The sequence below is a fragment of the Homo sapiens genome, chromosome 2 (assembly GCF_000001405.40).
Source record: "Homo sapiens chromosome 2, GRCh38.p14 Primary Assembly".
Lineage (NCBI taxonomy): Eukaryota > Metazoa > Chordata > Mammalia > Primates > Hominidae > Homo > Homo sapiens.
In genome coordinates, this window is record NC_000002.12 from 27,380,791 (window position 1) to 27,399,136 (window position 18,346).

General features: G+C 46.5%; 1 protein-coding gene and 1 pseudogene across 2 annotated transcripts in view, besides 1 other annotated feature; both read right to left on the reverse strand.

The window, feature by feature from the left end:
• PPM1G (protein phosphatase, Mg2+/Mn2+ dependent 1G) overlaps positions 409-18,346 on the reverse strand; it is a 28,393-nt gene continuing 10,455 nt past the window's right edge. Inside the window, exons 2-10 of the mRNA NM_177983.3 lie at positions 6,299-6,368; positions 5,404-5,489; positions 4,957-5,089; positions 3,883-4,298; positions 3,162-3,302; positions 2,576-2,810; positions 1,686-1,815; positions 1,336-1,438; positions 409-1,015 (exon numbers count right to left, since the gene is read on the reverse strand). Coding sequence (NP_817092.1) covers positions 809-1,015; positions 1,336-1,438; positions 1,686-1,815; positions 2,576-2,810; positions 3,162-3,302; positions 3,883-4,298; positions 4,957-5,089; positions 5,404-5,489; positions 6,299-6,368 — 1,521 coding nt within the window. The 3' untranslated portion in view covers positions 409-808. The remainder of the gene's footprint in view (positions 1,016-1,335; positions 1,439-1,685; positions 1,816-2,575; positions 2,811-3,161; positions 3,303-3,882; positions 4,299-4,956; positions 5,090-5,403; positions 5,490-6,298; positions 6,369-18,346) is intronic.
• On the reverse strand, positions 11,833-12,786 carry FTH1P3 (ferritin heavy chain 1 pseudogene 3; annotated as a pseudogene). The gene has a single exon (NR_002201.1). The product of NR_002201.1 is annotated as a ferritin heavy chain 1 pseudogene 3 (transcript).
• Positions 14,514-15,015: an enhancer, noted in NCBI's record as "H3K4me1 hESC enhancer chr2:27618171-27618672 (GRCh37/hg19 assembly coordinates)". NCBI's record gives its function as "activates a minimal SCP1, AML or CMV promoter by ChIP-STARR-seq in primed H9 embryonic stem cells {active_cell/tissue: H9 hESC(primed)}" and the evidence as "EXISTENCE:reporter gene assay evidence [ECO:0000049][PMID:30033119]".

Here is an 18,346-nt window from a genome sequence, read left to right on the forward strand (position 1 = left end):
AGAGACGCACGGGACGCGTAGTCCGTGGGAAGCGGCCGCGGCGGGAGCCTCAATGGCGTGACCGGGAAGTGATTGTGACGAGGCGGGGAGCAAGCCAATCAGCGGCAGCGGGGAGCCGGCCAGGGAGCAGCGCAGGAGGCGTCCTGCCCGACTCCAGGCTTCAGGCCAGCCAGACCGGTCCCAACCTGTCCCTGGGGGAACTAGATCATTTCTGGCTGCAGGAGGGGGCGAGGGGCAGCCGCGACGCCCGCCAGGCCGGCCTACCAGCAGCTCGCTCTGGGCTCTCCTATACACGCGCAGGACACACACGAGCACACGCACACACTCACATGGGGGCTCGCCACATGCTACAGATGGGACCAAGTCGGGGGCCACGGCAGCAGAAAAAAAAGGACACGATGCGTACGATTAGGTTTTGGCCTTTAGTCTGAAAAAGTGTTGATTGAAAGTGTACAACAGAGAGCGGGTGCAAGCGGCCGAGGGCCATGGAGCCGCCAATAAAAAAGAATGTCCTTAAATAAAGTTCACAGAGTAAAAACCAGAACCGCCAGTCCTTCCCTCCAACACAACAGAGCACAGGCACAGAACCGGTGATGAGCCCGAGGAGCAGAGGCGGCTGGGAAGGACAGCAGAGGCTCCCGGCTGCAGTGTGGAGGGAGAGCCCTCTTTGGAATGGGCGGAGTGAAGCCACCCAGCTCCCCCTGCACACCTCATACCCACTGCTAAGGCTAAAGGAAAAAGACAAAACTCAGTCTCAGGTCCGGAGGGCTCAGAAAACAGTCTAGGTGGGCAGGGGTCTGGATGACTGCTAGTCTCGCTTGGCCTTCTTCTTCTTGTCGCTGTTGCCATTTTCTTCAGCCCCCTCAGTAGAGAGCACCTCCTCTAGTTTTCGCTTGCCACTCTCTGGCTGGAGCTCTGCTGTGTTTCGGGGCTTGAAGCAAATGATGATGCAGGTCATGTTGTCACACCCTGTACCATCCCCAGAAGTGTCTGGTGCCAGGCACTGATCCAGCAGCTAAGAAAGGGATGGGGGTAGCTCAGCCACAGGGTTTGAACACCTTGCCAGGAATCTACAGTCCCACAAGAGGGCTGGCTTGCTGAGTCAGGGTGGTAGGAGAGGAATGGGCAAGAGGTATCACACAACGGCCCACCTGCTAGTCCATAAGGCATAAGGCTAAGTCAGGGAAATGACAGAAGGTGGAACTTTGGAGTCGGGGTTTAGCGTCTGTCAGCAATTACTGATAATGCTCCCAGATTGCCGACTTAGCTCAGATTAAAAGAGTGAACCCTGGCTGTGCAGACCAGACACCCTCTCTTCTCCACCCTGGTACTCACCTCTTCCACAATGGATGACAATAACCGAAGCTCCCCATTTTCATCACGCTGGCTGATCTTTGATTGAATGAAATCTACAACTTCCTGGCTGCTCATCACATTCCTGGGGTCAAGAACAACAGTCAGAATCTTCCAGTCTCACTAAGGCAGCGTAGAGGAGTATGGACAGAGGTGGTGGCCCAGGCCAGTGTAAATAACTACAGAAATTCTCAGCTCTGCCTTAGTCTGGGTGCTCTTCACCCACCAAGAGGCCTAGGTCTGCCTAGGCTCTAATCCTAGAGGTGCCCTGAGTCCTATAAGAGAAGACATGCTGCAGAAAGGGGAATTTAGGGCATTCTGCCAGTGCTCACCAGATGCCATCACAGGCAATGACCATGAATTCATGGTCGTCAGTGAGAGTCAGCACCTTGATGTCAGGAAGGGCTGAAATCATCTGTTCCTCAGGTGGCAGGTTCTTGTTTCTCTTATAGAAGTGGTCCCCTGGAGTAAAGGAATGGTTGATGAGCAGTTTGGATACTTCCCACAGACTTGTGTTTGTGGCAGGTCAAACCTTGCCATTCATTTCCCTTCTTTACAAAGTTCCATAATCTAGTGGAATGGGGAACTGAGTCCTAAGTCCTAGTTTTTCTAGTTTCAACCCTGCCACCAGACTGCTGAACCTTAAGAAAGTCACTCACTGGTCTTTTTATTTTAAGTCTTTTTTGTTTTTTTTTTTTTGAGACGGAGTTTCACTCTTGTAGCCCAGGCTGGAGTGTAATGGCACGATCTCGGCTCACTACAACCTCCGCCTCCCGGATTCAAGCGGTTCTCCTGCCTCAGCCTCCTGAGTAGCTGGGATTACAGGCTTGCACTACCATGCCCAGCTAATTTTTGTATTTTTTTTTTTTTTTAGTAGAGATGGGGTTTCACCATGTTGGCCAGGCTGGCCTCGAACTCCTGACCTCAGGCGATCCACCAGCCTCAGCCTCCCAAAGTGCTGGGATTACAGGCGTGAGCCACCACGCCCGGCACTCACAGGTCTTTTTCATCATTCAAATGTTACATAAGATGGGTATAATGATACCTATGTATAATGATACCTCTACCCATCTTAGTTATTTCACAGAAATATAAGAACAGAGGTAGTAGATATTAAAGTGCTTTGAAAGGCACAAGCACTAGGAAGATTAAAGTTTGCTACTAGGTAGTCTGGGACAGAGAGAAAGACCCTAGAAGTCTTTCCCAGTTTCTTGGCCCTTACCAATGGCTCTGGAGAGGTTGAGGCCCCCGTTGACTCGCCCATCCATGGTGACCTTGCCACCAGCATTCTTGATGCGTGCTAGTTCTACTTCATCCTCTGGTTTGTGATCATAGGACATGTCTAAAGCTTTGCCAGCCTCAGATACCACACAGCGAGAGTCTCCTGCGTTGGCTACAATCAACTGCTTCCCTCGTATCAGGGCCACCACCGCTGTTGTACCACTGTCAGAGCCAGGCTTAAGAGGAAGAAAAGGAGCATCATGGGGGCTTCTGAACATGCGTTCCTCACTGATGTGCTCCTGATCGTTCACCTATGCTTGCTTTCACTGGGACCCCCAAAAGAGCTTTAACAAACAGGAGAAGCACACATTTCATCTTTCTAGAGACAGCAGCACACTCCCTCTCCCTTGTTTTTAGATAATTCAACCCCAAAGGCTTACCATCTCATTCCCCTTGCAGAATAAATCCCCATGACTATTACTTCCATCCTAAAGTATCAGGGGGATCCCCTGTCTCAAAATCAAAATTAGGGGATTCACACCTGCCTTGTGGCTTTTCAAGACTCATTGCTCCCCTTCCCCACACACCTCCTCTTTGCCTTCCATCCCTGGCACCATCATCTCTTCTTCTTCTTCTTCATCGTCCTCTTCAGCCTCCTCGGTGTCATCCTCATCTTCCTCATTCTCTGCCTCCTCACTGCTGTAGCCATCCTCTTCCTCGCTGCATTCCTGCCAGGGGGAGGATCCCAGACTGCTGAGACTGGGATGATCCCCTCCCTCCCCACAGCTCATACTCAGAATCAAGAGGTCCTGACTGAACACAGGTCCTCAAAACACTGAAAGATACAAGTATATGGTCATGAAAATTGGGGGGATGGAAAGGGCTAGCATGAGTACAACTGACATCCTGAACTGGGCTTAGCAGTCACTAGCAAAAAGCCCAGGACAAGGCAAGGGCTGCCAGCCAAAAATATCTTTCAGGCACTGTGGCCAGAAAATAAATTTTCCAGAGAAGAAAACAGTCAACTAGCCAAGGTAACAACTATCTCCTTGTTCTCTCTCTAGGAGACAGACTCTGAAAAGCCAGAACTAGATCTGCTTGTTATAGTACCAACAAAGGAAGAGGTAAAAAGGCAAATGGTACCTGTGATGATGGAGCTCAATGAATTCAAGACTAAAGCTTAGAATACAGTGGGTCTTGGGGGATGATGTCAAAATAGGAGAAGGAAAGAGAGTTGAAAACTACAGACGGCAACCAAACAGGACCTCTCTGCAACTTCAGCATCTGCCTGCCCTCACAGGCCCTTACCTCACTGTCTTCCTCTTCTTCCTCCGCCTCATCTGACTCATCCTCACTGTCCTCAAAGAACTTGGACTTAGCAACTCGAGGCAGCTTGTCAGAGGCTGAAGAGCAGGAAGGCCCAGCCTCACCAGTGGGAATGCCAGGCTCACCAACTTGGCCTGCCTCAGTCCCACGTTCCGAGTTGGAGGAAAAGCCTGTGTAGGCCTTGGCTGTGGGGCCATTTTCTTGTGAAGGAGTTTCCCTAGTTGAGTCCTCAGGTCCTGCCTCCCCATTGAGGCCCTGGGACCCTGGTTCCTCGCCTGTCCCACCTCCAGATTTGCTGTGGGGAGGGCCCTTGTGACAGTTCTGCCCGTAGCGTGTCAGCAGCTCTTCAATAGTCATGGTAGCCTCTTCATGCAGCAGTGCAGCCTCCTCATTGTCCACTGCAGGGAAGAGGCTAAATCAGAGCCCCCATGCCAGACTCCTCATGGGATCCGTCCCTCTCACTACCTCAACAGCCCTTGCAGCCTCTAACTTCCCCACAACCTCCCACTCCCAAGGTTCCTCTCGCTCAAGTCTCAGAAGAACATGCCCTAGCTCCTCCTCCTCCACAGACTTCTTTTGGTTTTTGTGTTTCATCCCCTTCTTAATCAAAACAACACTAGTTACTATACTTCCCCTCTGACGTCTCATTTTTTATTGTTAAGTTGTAAAAACCCTATTCTGGCTGAGGATCCAGGAAGCCCACAATGCTACTGTGAATTAGGATTTAGGCTTAATGATTGGCTATTGGGGCTAATAACTGCTCCAGTCTTGAGGGGAAAAAAAAGCACATAAATACTAGCAGGAACCAGGAAGACCCCATCACAATGACAAAAGATAATGTATATACAATGCTTACAGCTCAGATGCCACTCAACGAAGATAATTCTCTCCCTCCTTTTCATAACCACATACAATGCAGGAGAACATCATAGGTTTCTTTAACATAAGGACTCCCCAGGTCCCTAGAAAGCCATCCTATCTTAGAATTGATAAGTAATATTAAAGAATATTTCTTAAAATGCTGATTTCCCCTCAAACAAGGGATGCCACACTCACCATCATCTTCATCAGCTACTTTTTCTTTTTCATCTTCATCCTCAGTGGGTCGCCCTGCAATCTGTGCCAGCTCTTTAATGACTTCTTCAGTGGTCAATTTGGCGTCAATAGCCAAGAAGGCATCTTCTAAAGCCTGAATATAAGCAAAATAGTCTAAGACTAGTACAAAATGAACTCCCTATATACAATCCTGAGCACAAGGATGGAATACAAATTAAGAGTGTGAGCCACCACACTAAGAGACACTCACAGATAAAAACAGCTCAGAGGCCTAGGAATAATAAGGCAAGTCTAAAAGGCGGCCAATAAGCTCGTTTTAGGAACAGAATTCTTCAAGAGTAAATAAGCAGCAGCAGCTAGAGGACAAAAAGAAAGGAAAAGCCCAAGGGCTAGAGAACAAGGGAAAAGCCTACACAAGTGAGGAATGGGCGGTGTAAGCAGACAGACCTTCTGTAGCTTGCCTTCCTTGTAGGCCTTCTGATCTTTGATGATATCAGGAAGATATTTGGCACAGTACAAGGCAACTTCCTCCCCTAGAAGGAAAGGAAGGAAGGTCACCTGGAGCACTGCTCCCCACACATAGAAAGTGATACAATATTTATATGCCATACTGGAGTGAACCCCAAGGGTTGAGGGGATAAATATCTTAGCACCCCTGAACCCTATTTGAAGGACACTGTTTGGGGAAGTTCTGATCCAAAAAAATGGATTTCACCATCAATTCTCTCGGGTATAAATATCTCGTCTTTTCTCACCTGTATACTTAGTTCTCCAGTGAAAAAAAGATAAAGAATCAGCTCAACTGGGTACACTTTTTTGTTTTTTAAGACAAGAGTCTTGCTCTGTTGCCCAGGCTGGAGTGCAGTGGCATGGTCTTGGCTCACTGCAACCTCCACCTCCCAGGTTCAAGCGATTCTCCTGCCTCAGCCTTCCGAGCAGCTGGGACCACAGGCGCCCACCACTACGCCCAGCTAATTTTTGTATTTTTAGTAGAGATGGGGTTTCACCATATTGGTCAGGCTGGTCTCGAACTCCTGACCTCGTGATCCACTGTGCCGGGATTACAGGTGTGACCTACCGCGTGCCCAGCCTAAAAATTTTAAAAAATAAAAATAAAAAAAGATAGAGGCTCTTTGGATTAAAACAAGTCCTGGTGAGATTATAAACCAATACAGTACCTACTGGGAAAAAAGAATGACAGAATACAGAAAAACAGCACCACGCAGGAAATGATAATGAGGGCCAGACCCTGGAAAGTAAATGAACAAAGGGACCTGTTCTTGCCCTGGAACGTCTGGAATTGGGGTCCTAGAATGTTACCAATATGATCTGTTAAAGTTACCTCCATGTCCATCGTAGACAGAAAACATGGCTGTCTCACTGTCCAGCTCAGGAATACAGTTGTGAGCATCCTAGGAAAAGAAGAGCATAATCGGCATGTCTCAAGGTCGAAGAATATTCCTCAGGTCATAGGGATCAATGTCACCCCTTACTAACCTTTCCCTGGCTGGCCTATATGGCCTAGAAATAAGAAAGGAAGAAGGAATGATAAAATAAATACAGAGGAAGAAAAGAGGAGGGAGGCAAAGGAGGAAAGGGGAAGGAGAAAAGGAAGAAAGAATCAGGTTACTACCTCTATAATAACCTCAACCTAGGAGATATCTCAGTCCAGATGGCAGAATATTTGGCTACTGGAAATAAACCTGACCCTTTTGGATCTGTGGAAGCTACGGGAAAACCAGAATAAAGGATTTTTTCTTCTTTTTTTTTTTGAGACAGAGTCTCGCCCTGTCACCCAAGCTGGAGTGCAGTGGCGCGATCTTGGCTCACTGCAACCTCCGCCTCGTGGGTTCAAGCGATTCTCCTGCCTCCGCCTGCTGAATAGCTGAGATTACAGGCATGTGCCACCATGCCCGGCTAACTTTTGTATTTTTAGTAGAGATGGGGTTTCACCATGTTGGTCAGGCTGGTCTCGAACTCCTGACCTTGTGATCTGCCTGCCTCGGCCTCCCAAAGTGTTGGCCAGGCTGTACACAGCTTTATTTATTTATTTATTTATTATTATTTTTTGAGACGGAGTCTCGCTCTGTCGCCCAGCCTGGAGGGCAGTGGTGCGATCTCTGCTCACTGCAAGCTTCGCCTCCCAGGTTCACGCCATTCTCCTGCCTCAGCCTCCCAAGTAGCTGGGACTACAGGCACCCACCACCACACCCGGCTAATTTTTTGTATTTTTAGTAGAGACGGGGTTTCACCTTGTTAGCCAGAATGGTCTCGATCTCCTGATCTCGGGATCCACCCGCCTCAGTCTCCCAAAGTGCTGGGATTACATAAGTGAGCCACCGCGCCCGGCCTACAGCATTATTTATAATAAAAAACAGTTGAGGCCAGGCGTGGTGGCTCACACCTGTAATCCCAGCACTTTGGGAGGCTAAGGCCGGCAGATCATGAAGTCAAGAGATCAATACCATCCTGGCCAACATGGTGAAACCCCGTCTCTACTAAAAATACAAAAATTAGCCAGGCGTGGTGGTGTGCGCCCGTAGTCCCAGCTACTCGGAAGGGTGAGGCAGGAGAATCACTTGAACCCCGGAGGTGGAAGTTGCAGTGAGCCAAGATCACACCACTGCGCTCCAGCCTGGGTGACAGAGTCAGACTCCGTCTCTAAATAAATAAATAAATAAAATAAAAAACAGTTGTAACCATCTAAATTTCCAGGAATAGATTACAAATGGTACGTAACTCCAGTGGAAATGTAGCTGTTAAAAGCAAATATATGTTAATTTGGAAATGAGTTCACAATATCTTAAGTGGTTAAAAGCAAAAAGTTAAAAAAGTATCTACATGTGAGGACGGCCACAGTGGCTCACTCCTGTAATCCCAGCACTTTGGGAGGCCCAGGCAGGCGGATCATGAGGTCAGGAGATCGAGACCATCCTGGCTAACATGGTGAAACCCCGTCTCTACTAAAAATACAAAAAATTAGCTGGAGGTGATGGTGGGCGCCTGTAGTCCCAGCTACTTGGGAGGCTGAGGCAGGAGAATGGCGTGAACCCAGGAGGCAGAGCCTGCAGTGAGCCGAGATTGCGCCACTGCACTCCAGCCAGGGCGACAGAGCAAGACTCCGTCTCAAAAAAAAAAAAAAAAAATTATCTACATGTATATGTGAGTCTGGAAGATCACATAGCAAACAACCACAGAGGGTGAGATTTGGGTAATAATTTCTACTTTTCGACATTCATTTTTAAATTTTTGTACAATAAACCACATTGTTCCATTCTGAATAAGGACAACAAACACACCTAAGAACTGGCCTCAAGTTGCCATTCTACCATATACTGCATGATCTCTGGTCAGCTACCTTATGGTGTGCCTCAATTTTATCCTCTGTGATGTGGAATTACAATATCCACCACATCCACATCATCACAGAACTGTTGTAATGATGCAAAACACATAAAAGCCCTTTGTAAACTGGAATTTGCTACATAAAAATATATATATATATACACACACACATACACATATATGTATATTCTGCTCTGAAATTTAGCACCCATTTCACATTTTTCTTTTTTGTTCTTTTTCTCAAAGAGGACCACCCACAATAAAGATTCGTCTTACACCTTGAGGTCTCAGTCCTGAGAACTATCGCACAATTACCCTCTCCTTCACTTCTTGGTGAGGCTTGGGATCTATATTATGATTTGGAACTGTTTCACCTTCCCTAAACACTTTAATTTGCCCCCTTTACATGTCTGCTCATAACCTTTACCCACACCTTTGCTTCTCTCTATCCCTTACTGAGACAGAGCCAAGTATTTCAACATGGTCTCTTAGAAATCTAGAAAAACTCACCCAACCTTGTATAACCCCACCAACTGATTTATGCCTGAATCAGAACTACTAAGTTTGCTAGTCATAAAATGTTATGAGATTGGCTAGGTGCGATGGCTCACACCTGTAATCCCAGCGCTCTGGGAAGGTAGGCAGGAGGACTGATTGAGATCAGGAGTTGGAGACCAGCCTAGGCAACATAGCAAGACCCCGCCTCTACAAAAAAATTTTAAAGTTAGCCAGGCATAGCAGCATGCACCTGCAGTCAGTCCTAACTACTCGGAACACTGAGGCAAGAGGACCACCTGAGCCCAGGAGGTGGAGGCTGCAGAAAGCTATGATGCACCACTGCACTCCAGCCTGGGTGACAGAGGGAGACCCCATCTCTAAAACAAAACAAAGTTATAGGATCACATTGACTGTGGTAATTACTTCATTTCAGCATCTTGTTTTCTTTTTTTTTTGAGATGGAGTCTCCCAGGCTGGAGTAGAGTGGCGCGATCTAGGCTCACCATATCCTCCACTTTCCAGGTTCAAGCAATTCTCCTGCCTCAGTCTCCTGAGTGGCTGAAATTACAGTGGGCACCTGCCACCACGCCCAGCCAATTTTTGTATTTTCAGTAGAGACGGGGCTTCACCATGTTGCCCAGGCTCTTCTCAAACTCCTGAGCTCAAGTGATCTGCCCAGCTCGGCCTCCCAAAACGCTGGGATTACAGGCGTGAGCCATTGCAACTGGCCAAACACAGAAATTATCCTCTCTTCCTAGATTAACATTTTTTCTTAAACTCCTGATCTCAAATCCTTCTCCTTCAAGGTCTTACTACACAGAGAATGTAATAACCTTAACAGCAATCCAAATAGCCGTTTTGGCAATGGCTCATGCATGTAATCTCAACATTTTGGGAGGTCAAGGCAGGAGGACTGCTTGAGGCCAGGAGTTCAAGCCTGGGCAACATAGTGAGACCTCATCTCAACAACAACAACAACATCCGTAAACAGCCATTCTGCAGACTTCATTTCCCCTAGCCATTATGTCAGATTAAACAGTACAAACCATGTCAGTTTTTTTTTTATTTTTCAATGTTTATTTTAGAATCACAGAATACATGTGTAAGTTTGTTAGAAAGGTATACTGTGTGATGCTGAGGTTTGGGGTATGACTGAACCCGTTTCCCAGGTGCTGGGTATAGTATCAAATAGGTAGTTTTTCAGCTGTTCCTCTGCCACACAACCCCCACCCCCACCCTGCCGCACCACCACCTCTAGTAGACCCATGTCTATTGTTGCCATCTTTACATCCATGTGTACTTGATGTTCAGCTCCCACTCTCACTGCGTGAGAACACGCAGTATTTGGTTTTCTGTTTCTGTGTTAGTTTGCTTAGGATAATGCCCTCCAGCTACATTCATGTTGTTGCAAAGACATTATTTCATTATTTTTAATGGGTGCATAGTATTCCATGATGGCTATGTACCATATTTTCTTTTCTTTTCTAGTCCGCCACTGATGGGCACATGAGTTGATTCAATGTTTTTGCTATTGTGAATGGTGCCACAATGAACATACAGGTACATATGTTCTTTTGGCAGAATGATTTATTTTCCTTTGGCCGTATATCCAGCCATCAGATTGCTGGGTCTAATGGTAGTTCCACTCTTAGTTCTCTGAGAAATCTCCAAACTGACTGTGCCTACGCTAAATTAATTTACACCTTCACCAACAGTGTACAAGTGTCTGCTTTCCTCTGCAGCCTCACCAACGTTTCTCATTTTTTGACATTTTAACAAAAGCTGTTCTGACTGGTGTGAGATGGTATCTCTTTGTGGTTCTAATTTGCATTTGTCTGATGATTAGAAATGGGCGTTTTTTCATGTTTGTGGGCCACATGTACGTCTTTTGAGAAGTATCTGTTCATGTCCTTTGCCCACTTTTTAAGGGGGTTATTTGCTTTTTGCTTGTTAGGTTCCTTATAGATTTTGGATATTAGACTTTTGTTGGATGTATACTTTGTGAATATTTTCTCCCATTCTATAGGTTGTTTACCCCCTTGATAGTTTCTCTTGCTGCATGTCACTTTTCTTGAAAGATCTCTTGGATTCTGTGTAGTTCTATACCTCTGACTGCCTGTTTCTACAGGATGTTCTTTTTTTCTTTCTTTTTTTTTTTTTTGAGACAGAGTCTAGCTCTGTTGCCAGGGTGGAGTGCAGTGGCGCGATCTCGGCTCATCACAACCTCTGCCTCTCGGGTTCAAGCAATTCTCCTGCCTCAGCCTCCTGAGTAGCTGGGATAACAGGCACGCGCCGCCACGCCCAGCTAATTTTTGTATTTTTAGTAGAGACGGGGTTTCACCATGTTGGCCAGGATGGTCTCGATCTCCTGGACCTCGTGATCTGCCCACCTTGGCCTCCCAAAGTGCTGGGATTACGGGTGTGAGCCACTGCACCCGGCCAGGATGTTCTTTCTCTCTATACCTCAAACTTAACACATGTAATCAGGAAATCAGCAGTCTGCAAAAAAAAAAAAATCAAGAGCTTCCCCTACAGGTCTTATTTCTGTAAATGGAATCTTAACTCTCCCAGACAACACTTAATACCAGAGTCATGCTTAACTTCCTGGCTGTCTTCCACCATCCATCACTGAGTCCTGCATGCAGTCCTTCATCATGTTGTTGTTCCTGGATTACTTTGTTTTGTTGGTTTGTTTTGTTTTTTTTTTTTTTTTTTTTTTTTGAGAGAGAGAATGTCTCCCTGTCACCCAGGCTGGAGTACAGTGGCATGATCTCAGCTTACTACAACCTCCGCAGCCCAGGTTCAAGTGATTCTCATGCCTCAGCCTCCCAAGTAGCCGGGATTACAGGTGTGTGCCACCATGACTGGCTAGTTTTTATATTTTTAGTAGACACGGGGTTTCACCATGTTGCCCAGGCTGGTCTCAAACTCCCGACCTCAGGTGATCCTCCCGCCTCAGCCTCCCAAAGTGCTGAGATTTAGGCATGAGCCACTACGCCAGCCCACAGTACATTTTTTTTTTGGGGGGGGGGAGGGTACCAAATTTATTTATTTGAAGGAATGGTACAAATCAAAGAACTTAAGTGGGTGTCTTGGAACAACTTATAGAAAAGGTAAAGGAAACCCCAACATACATGCGCTGCCTTGGTGACAAGGTAAGTCACCCTATGGCTATGGGGAAATTAGCCTGAGGCTTAGCTTTCATTATCACTGTCTCCCAGGGTGTGCTTGTCAAAGAGGTATTCTGCCACGCCAGATTCGGGCGCTCCCATCTCGTGCATGTTGGTCACGTGGTCACCCAATTCTTTGATGGCCTTCACTTGTTCATTCAGGTAATGTGTCTCAATGAAGTCACACAAATGGGGGTCATTTTTGTCAGTGGCCAGTTTGTGCAGTTCCAGTAGTGACTGATTCACATTTTTTTCCAAATGTAATGCAAAATGCACAATTTTTTCCAAATGTAATCCATCGCATTCAGCCCGCTCTCCCATCGCATTCTCCCCGCACAGTCTGGTTTCTTGATATCCTGAAGGAAGATTCGGCCACCTCGTTGGTTCTACAGCTTCATCAATTTCTCAGCATGTTCCCTCTCCTCATGAGATTGGTGAAGAAAGTATTTGGCAAAGTTCTTCAAAGCCACATCATCGCTGTCAAAGTAGTAAGCCACGCACAGGTAAATGGAGGAGGCGTAGAGCTCCAGGTTGATCTGGCGGTTGATGGCGGCCTCTGAGTCTTGGTGGTAGTTCTGGCGCACCTGCGAGGTAGACGCGGTCGTCATGCCGGCGACTAAGGAGAGGCGGCGGCAGCGGCAGTGGTGGCTACGCGGCGCTGGAGCTGCGGCGGGGGCCTTGGGGCAGTCCGAGGGCATGGTGAAGAGGTGACGGAGGGCTGGCTATGGGCGGCCGGCCGGGGTGCAGGACGAGCGCCGGGTTCCGTCCAAGCACTGTTGAAGCAGGAAACCCCGACCACTCTCGGCGAAGAACGTCTCAACTTTTAATTATCATATTTTTTTCTGAGAAAGAGTCTCACTCTGTCGCCAGGCTGGAGTGCAGTGGCGCAATCTTGGCTCCCCGCAACCTCCATCTCCCGGGTTCAAGCAATTCTCCTGCCTCAGCCTCCCGAGTAGCTGGGAGTACAGGTGCGTGCCACCACACCCAGCTAATTTTTTATTTTTATTTATTTATTTTTTTAGAGACAGAGTCTCACTCTGTCGTCCAGGCTGGACTGAAGCGGCGCAATCTCGGCTCACTTCAAGCTCCGCCTTCCGGGTTCACGCCATTCTCCCGTCTCAAAACTCCTGAGTACCTGGGACTACAGGTGCCTGCCAAGACGCTCGGCTGATTTTTGTATTTTTAGCAGAGACGGGGTTTCACCGTGTTAGCCAGGATGGTCTCAATCTCCTGACCTCGTGATCCACCTGCCTCGGCCTCCCAAAGTGCTGGGATTACAGGCATGAGCCACCGCGCCCGGCCTAATTTTTTATTTTTAGCAGAGATGGGGTTTCACCATATTGGTCAGGCTGGTCTCGAACTCCTGACCTCAGGTGATCCGCCTGCCTCGGCCTCCCAAAGTGCTGGGATTACAGGTGTGAGCCACCGCACCCACCAACAGTAAACTTTAGTAATAAAAATTAGTAAACTTTTCCTTTCTGGAGTAGTAATTTTTAAAAAATAATCACTATTTCATCTTACCATATGCTTTCATCTTCAGGAAACACACTATAATGGCTTTAAGCTGTTTCTTAGTTCATAAGTGATAGCTCAGAAGCATCTGAATTATTTTCCCTGAATTTCACTACCTGGCCTAGTGCCTACATAGGCTAAATCATTTCTGATCATTCACATGCTCAAGATCTTCTTGTGGCTGGGCACGGTGACCCCCCTGTAATCCCACCACTTTGGGAGGCCGAGGCAGGCGGATCTCTAGGTCAAGAGATTGAGACCATCCTGGCCAACATGGTGAAACCCCATCTCTACTAAAAATACAAAAAAATTAGCCAGGAGTGGTGGCACGCGCCTGTAGTCCCAGCTACTTGGGAGGCTAAGGCAGAAGAATCACTTGAACCCGGGAGGCGGACCAGGAGGCGGAGGTTGCAGTGAGCCGAGATCGTGCCACTGCACTCCCGCCTGGTGACAGAGTGAGACTCTGTCTTAAAAAAAAAAAAAAAAAAAAAAAGATATTCTTGCAACTGGAATGATATTTCATTTTCCAGGAGTTTGACACAATTTAGGAGGTTTTTCCTGCACACAATGGCCACCCATTTCCAATTAAACATTCATAAAAACACCACAACCACCCACCTCACTACCTCATACCCATTAGAATAGGAACTATTAAAAATAATAATAATAAAAATAAAACCAGGCACAGTGGCTCACGCCTGTAATCCCAACACTTTGGGAGGCCAAGGCGGGTGGATCACTTGGGGTCAGGAGTTTGAGATCAGCCTGACCAACATGGTGAAACCCCGTTTCTACTAAAAATACAAAAAATTAGCTGGGCGTGGTGGTGCATGCCTGTAATCCCAGCTACTTGGGAGGCTGAGACAGGAGAATCACTACTTGAATCTGGGAGGCAGAGGTTACAATGAGCCAAGACCGTGCCATTGCACTCCTGCCTGGGTGACAGAGTGAGACTCTGTCTCAAAAAAAAAAAAAAAAAGAAAGAAAGAAAGAAAGAAAAACTTAATTCTAGCACCTTGGGAGGCTGAGGGGAGCAGATCACTTGAGGTCAGGAGTTCGGGACCAGCCTGGCCAACATGGCAAAACCCCATGTCTACTAAAAATACAAAAATAACTGGGTGTGGTGGTACACCTGTAATCCCAGCTTCTCAGGAGGCTGGGGCATGAGAATCACTTGAACCTGGGAGGCGGAGGTTGCAGTGAGCTGAGATCATGCCGCTGCACTCCAGCCTGGGCAATAGAGTGAGACTCTGTCTCAAAAACACAAAACAAAACAAACAAACAAAACTGGTTGGGCATGTTGGCTCATGTCTCTAATCTCATTATTTTGGGAGGCTGAGGTGGGAGGATCACTTGTGCTCAGAAGTTCAAGACCAGCCTGGGTAACACTGTGAGACTCTGTCTCTACGAAAAAATTTTTTAAATTAGCCACAAGTGGTGGTGCACACCTGCAGTCCCACCTATGTGGAGGCTGAGGTGGCAGGACTGCTTGAGCCCAGAGGTTGAGGCTGCAGTGAGCTATCACATTGCACCACTGCACTCCAGCATGAGCAAGAATAAGACCGTCTCAAAAAAAAAAAAAAAGAAAAAGGAAAAAAGAAACCATTAAAAAAAAACAGATAATAACAACTGCTAGCAAGGATGTGGAGAAACTGAAATTCTTGTGTACTGTTGGTGGAAATGTAAATGATACAGGTGTTGTGAAAAACAACATGGAGGCTGGGCACAGTGGCTCACGCCTGTAATCCCAGCACTTTGGGAGGCCAAGGCAGGTGGATAATTTGAGGTCAGGAGTTCGAGACCAGCCTGGCCAACATGGTGAAACCCAGTCTCTACCTAAAAATACAAAAATTAGCCGGGTGTTGTGGCGAGCACCTGTAATCCCAGCTACGTGGGAGGCCGAGGCAGGACAATCACTTGAACCTGGGAGGTGGAGGTTGCAGTGAGCAGAGATGGTGCCACTGCACTCCAGCCTGGGCGACAGAGCAGGACTCCGTCTCAAAAAAATTTTTTTTAAATTAGGCAGTCACTAAAAGACAAATACCATATGATTCCACTTACAGTATGAAGTATCTAAACTAATCAAATTCATAGAGACTGAAAATAGAATGCTGTTTGCCATGAGCTGGGGGAAAGAGAATGGGGACTCATTTAATGGGTATGGAGTTTCAGTTCTGTAGGATGAAGAGTTCTGGAAACTGGGTACACAACAATGTGAATGTATTAAATACTACTCAACTGTACATTAAAAAAATTTTTAAGGCCGGGCGTGGTGGCTCATGCCTGTAATCCCAGCACTTTGGGAGGCCGAGGCGGGCGGATCACTTGAGGTGAGGAGTTAGAGACCAGCCTGGTCAACATGGAGAAACCCCGTCTCTACTAAAAATACAAAAATTAACTGGGCATGGTGGCGCATGCCTGTAATCCCAGCTACTCAGGAGGCTGAGGCAGGAGAATCTCTTGAGCCCAGGTGGCAGAGGTTGCAGTGAGCCAAGACTGCAATCATTGCACTCCAGCATAGGTGACAGAGCAAGACTCCGTCTCCAACAAAAAAAAAAAAAGAAAAGAAATGACTAAGATGGTAATTTTTATGTTATGAAAACTTTGTTTCCCTTGAAACAGAGTTTTGCTCTTGTTGCCCAGGCTGGAGTACAATGGCACGATCTAGGCTCACTGCAACCTCTGCCTCCGTGGTTCAAGTGATTCTCCCTCCTCAGCCTTCCAATTAGCTGAGATTACATGCATGCACCATCATGCCCAGCTAATTTTGTATTTTTAGTAGAGATGGGGTTTCTCCACGTTGCTCAGGCTGGTCTCAAACTCCCGACCTCAGGTGATTCACCCGTCTTGGCCCCCCAAAGTGCTGGGATTACAGGCGTGAGCCACCATGCCCAGCCACAATGAAAATTTTTAAAGAAAAAAAAAGCCAAAAACTTCCCACAAAGAAGAGCCCAGGCTCAGATGCCTTTATTTGTGAATTCTACCAAACATTTACAGAAAAATTAATACCAATGATTCACAAACTCTCCCATCACATAGAAAAGAAGACAACACTTCCCAATTCATTCTATGAGGCCAGCATTACCCTGATTCTAAAACCAGACAAAGACATCACAAGAAACTACAGACCAATATCTCTTATGAATATAGACACAAAAATCCTCAACAAAATAGTAGCAAACTAAATCCAGCACCATATAAAAGGATAATACACATTGATCAAATAAGACTTATACACCAAAAAAATGCAAGGTTGGTTTAACATTCAAAAAAATCACTTAATGCAATATAGCGTATCGGTAGACTAAAGAACAAAACCCTATGATCATCACAATAGGTATTATAAAGGCACTTGACAAAATTCAGTGCTCATTAATGATAAAAAGACTCAATGCCAGTCTGGGCAACATAGTAATAAGACCCTGTCTCTATAAAAAATTTTAAAAAATTAGCCCAGTATGGTGGTGCATGCATGTAATCCCAGCTACTAAGAAGGCTGAGGCAGGCGGATCTCTTGAACCTAGGAGTTCAAGGCTGCAGTGAGCTATGATTGAGCCACTGTGCTACAGCCTGAGGGACAGAGCAAGACTGTCTCTAAAAAAGTAATATAAAATAGACTCAACAACCTAGGAATAAAAGGGAACTTCCTAAACCTGATAGAGTACATCTATGAAAAACTCAGTCAGCCAGGCACGGTGGCTCATGCCTGTAATACTCCCCCAGTTGATCTACAGATTCTGCATAACCCCTATAGAAACCCAGGTGCCTTTTGTGCAGAAATTGACAAATTAATCCTAAAATTTAGATGAAAAACAAATTTTAAAAACATTTCAAAACGTACTAAAAAGCTACAGTAACCAAGATAGTGTATTACTGGCATAGGGACATGTAGACCAATGAAATGGACTTGAGAGTTCAGAAATAAAACCCTCACATTTACGGTCAATTTATCTCTGACAATGATGCCAAGATAATTCAATGGGGGAAAAGAACAGTGGTTTAAACAAATAGTGCTGGGACAACTTGATATCCACACACAAAAGAATGAAGTTGGATCACTCCCTCATACCATTCACAAAAATTCACTCAAAATGGATCACAGAAACAGCTAAAACTATAAAACTCTTAGAAGAAAACCTAAGAGAAAATTCTCGTGACTTTGGGTTAGGCAAAGCTTCTTAACAAAAACAAACAAACAAAATAGACAAATTGGACTTTATCAAAAGTAAAAACTTTTGTTTCAAAAGACACCATCAAGAAAGCAAAAAGAGGCTGAGTGTGGTGGCTCACGTCTGTAATCCTAGCACTTTGGGAGGCCCAGGCGGACGGATCACGAGGTCAAGAGATCGAGACTATCCTGGCCAACATGGTGAAACCCCGTCTCTACTAAAAATACAAAAATTAGCTGCGCATGGTGGCATGTGCCTATAGTCCTAGCTACTCGGGAGGCTGAGGCAGGAGAATGGCTTGAACCCGGGAGGCAGAGGTTGCAGTGAGCCGAGATCATGCCACTGCACTCCAGCCTGGCAACAGAGCGAGACTCCGTCTCAAAAAAAAAAAGAAAAAAAAAGAAAGAAAGCCAGCAAAAAGAATCAGGGTGTAGTGGCTCATGACTGTAATCCCAGCACTTTGGGAGGCTGAGGCAGGCAGATCACCTGAGGTCAGTAGTTCAAGACCAGCCTGGCCAACATGGTGAAACCCGGTCTCTACTAAAAATAAAAAATTAGCTGGGAGTGGTGGCACACACCTGGGTCCCAGCTACTCGGGAGGCTGAAGCAGGATAGCTTGAACTCAGGAGGCAGAGGTTGCAGTGAACCAAGATCGCGCCACTCCATTCCAGCCTGGGTGGTCAGAGCAAGACTGTC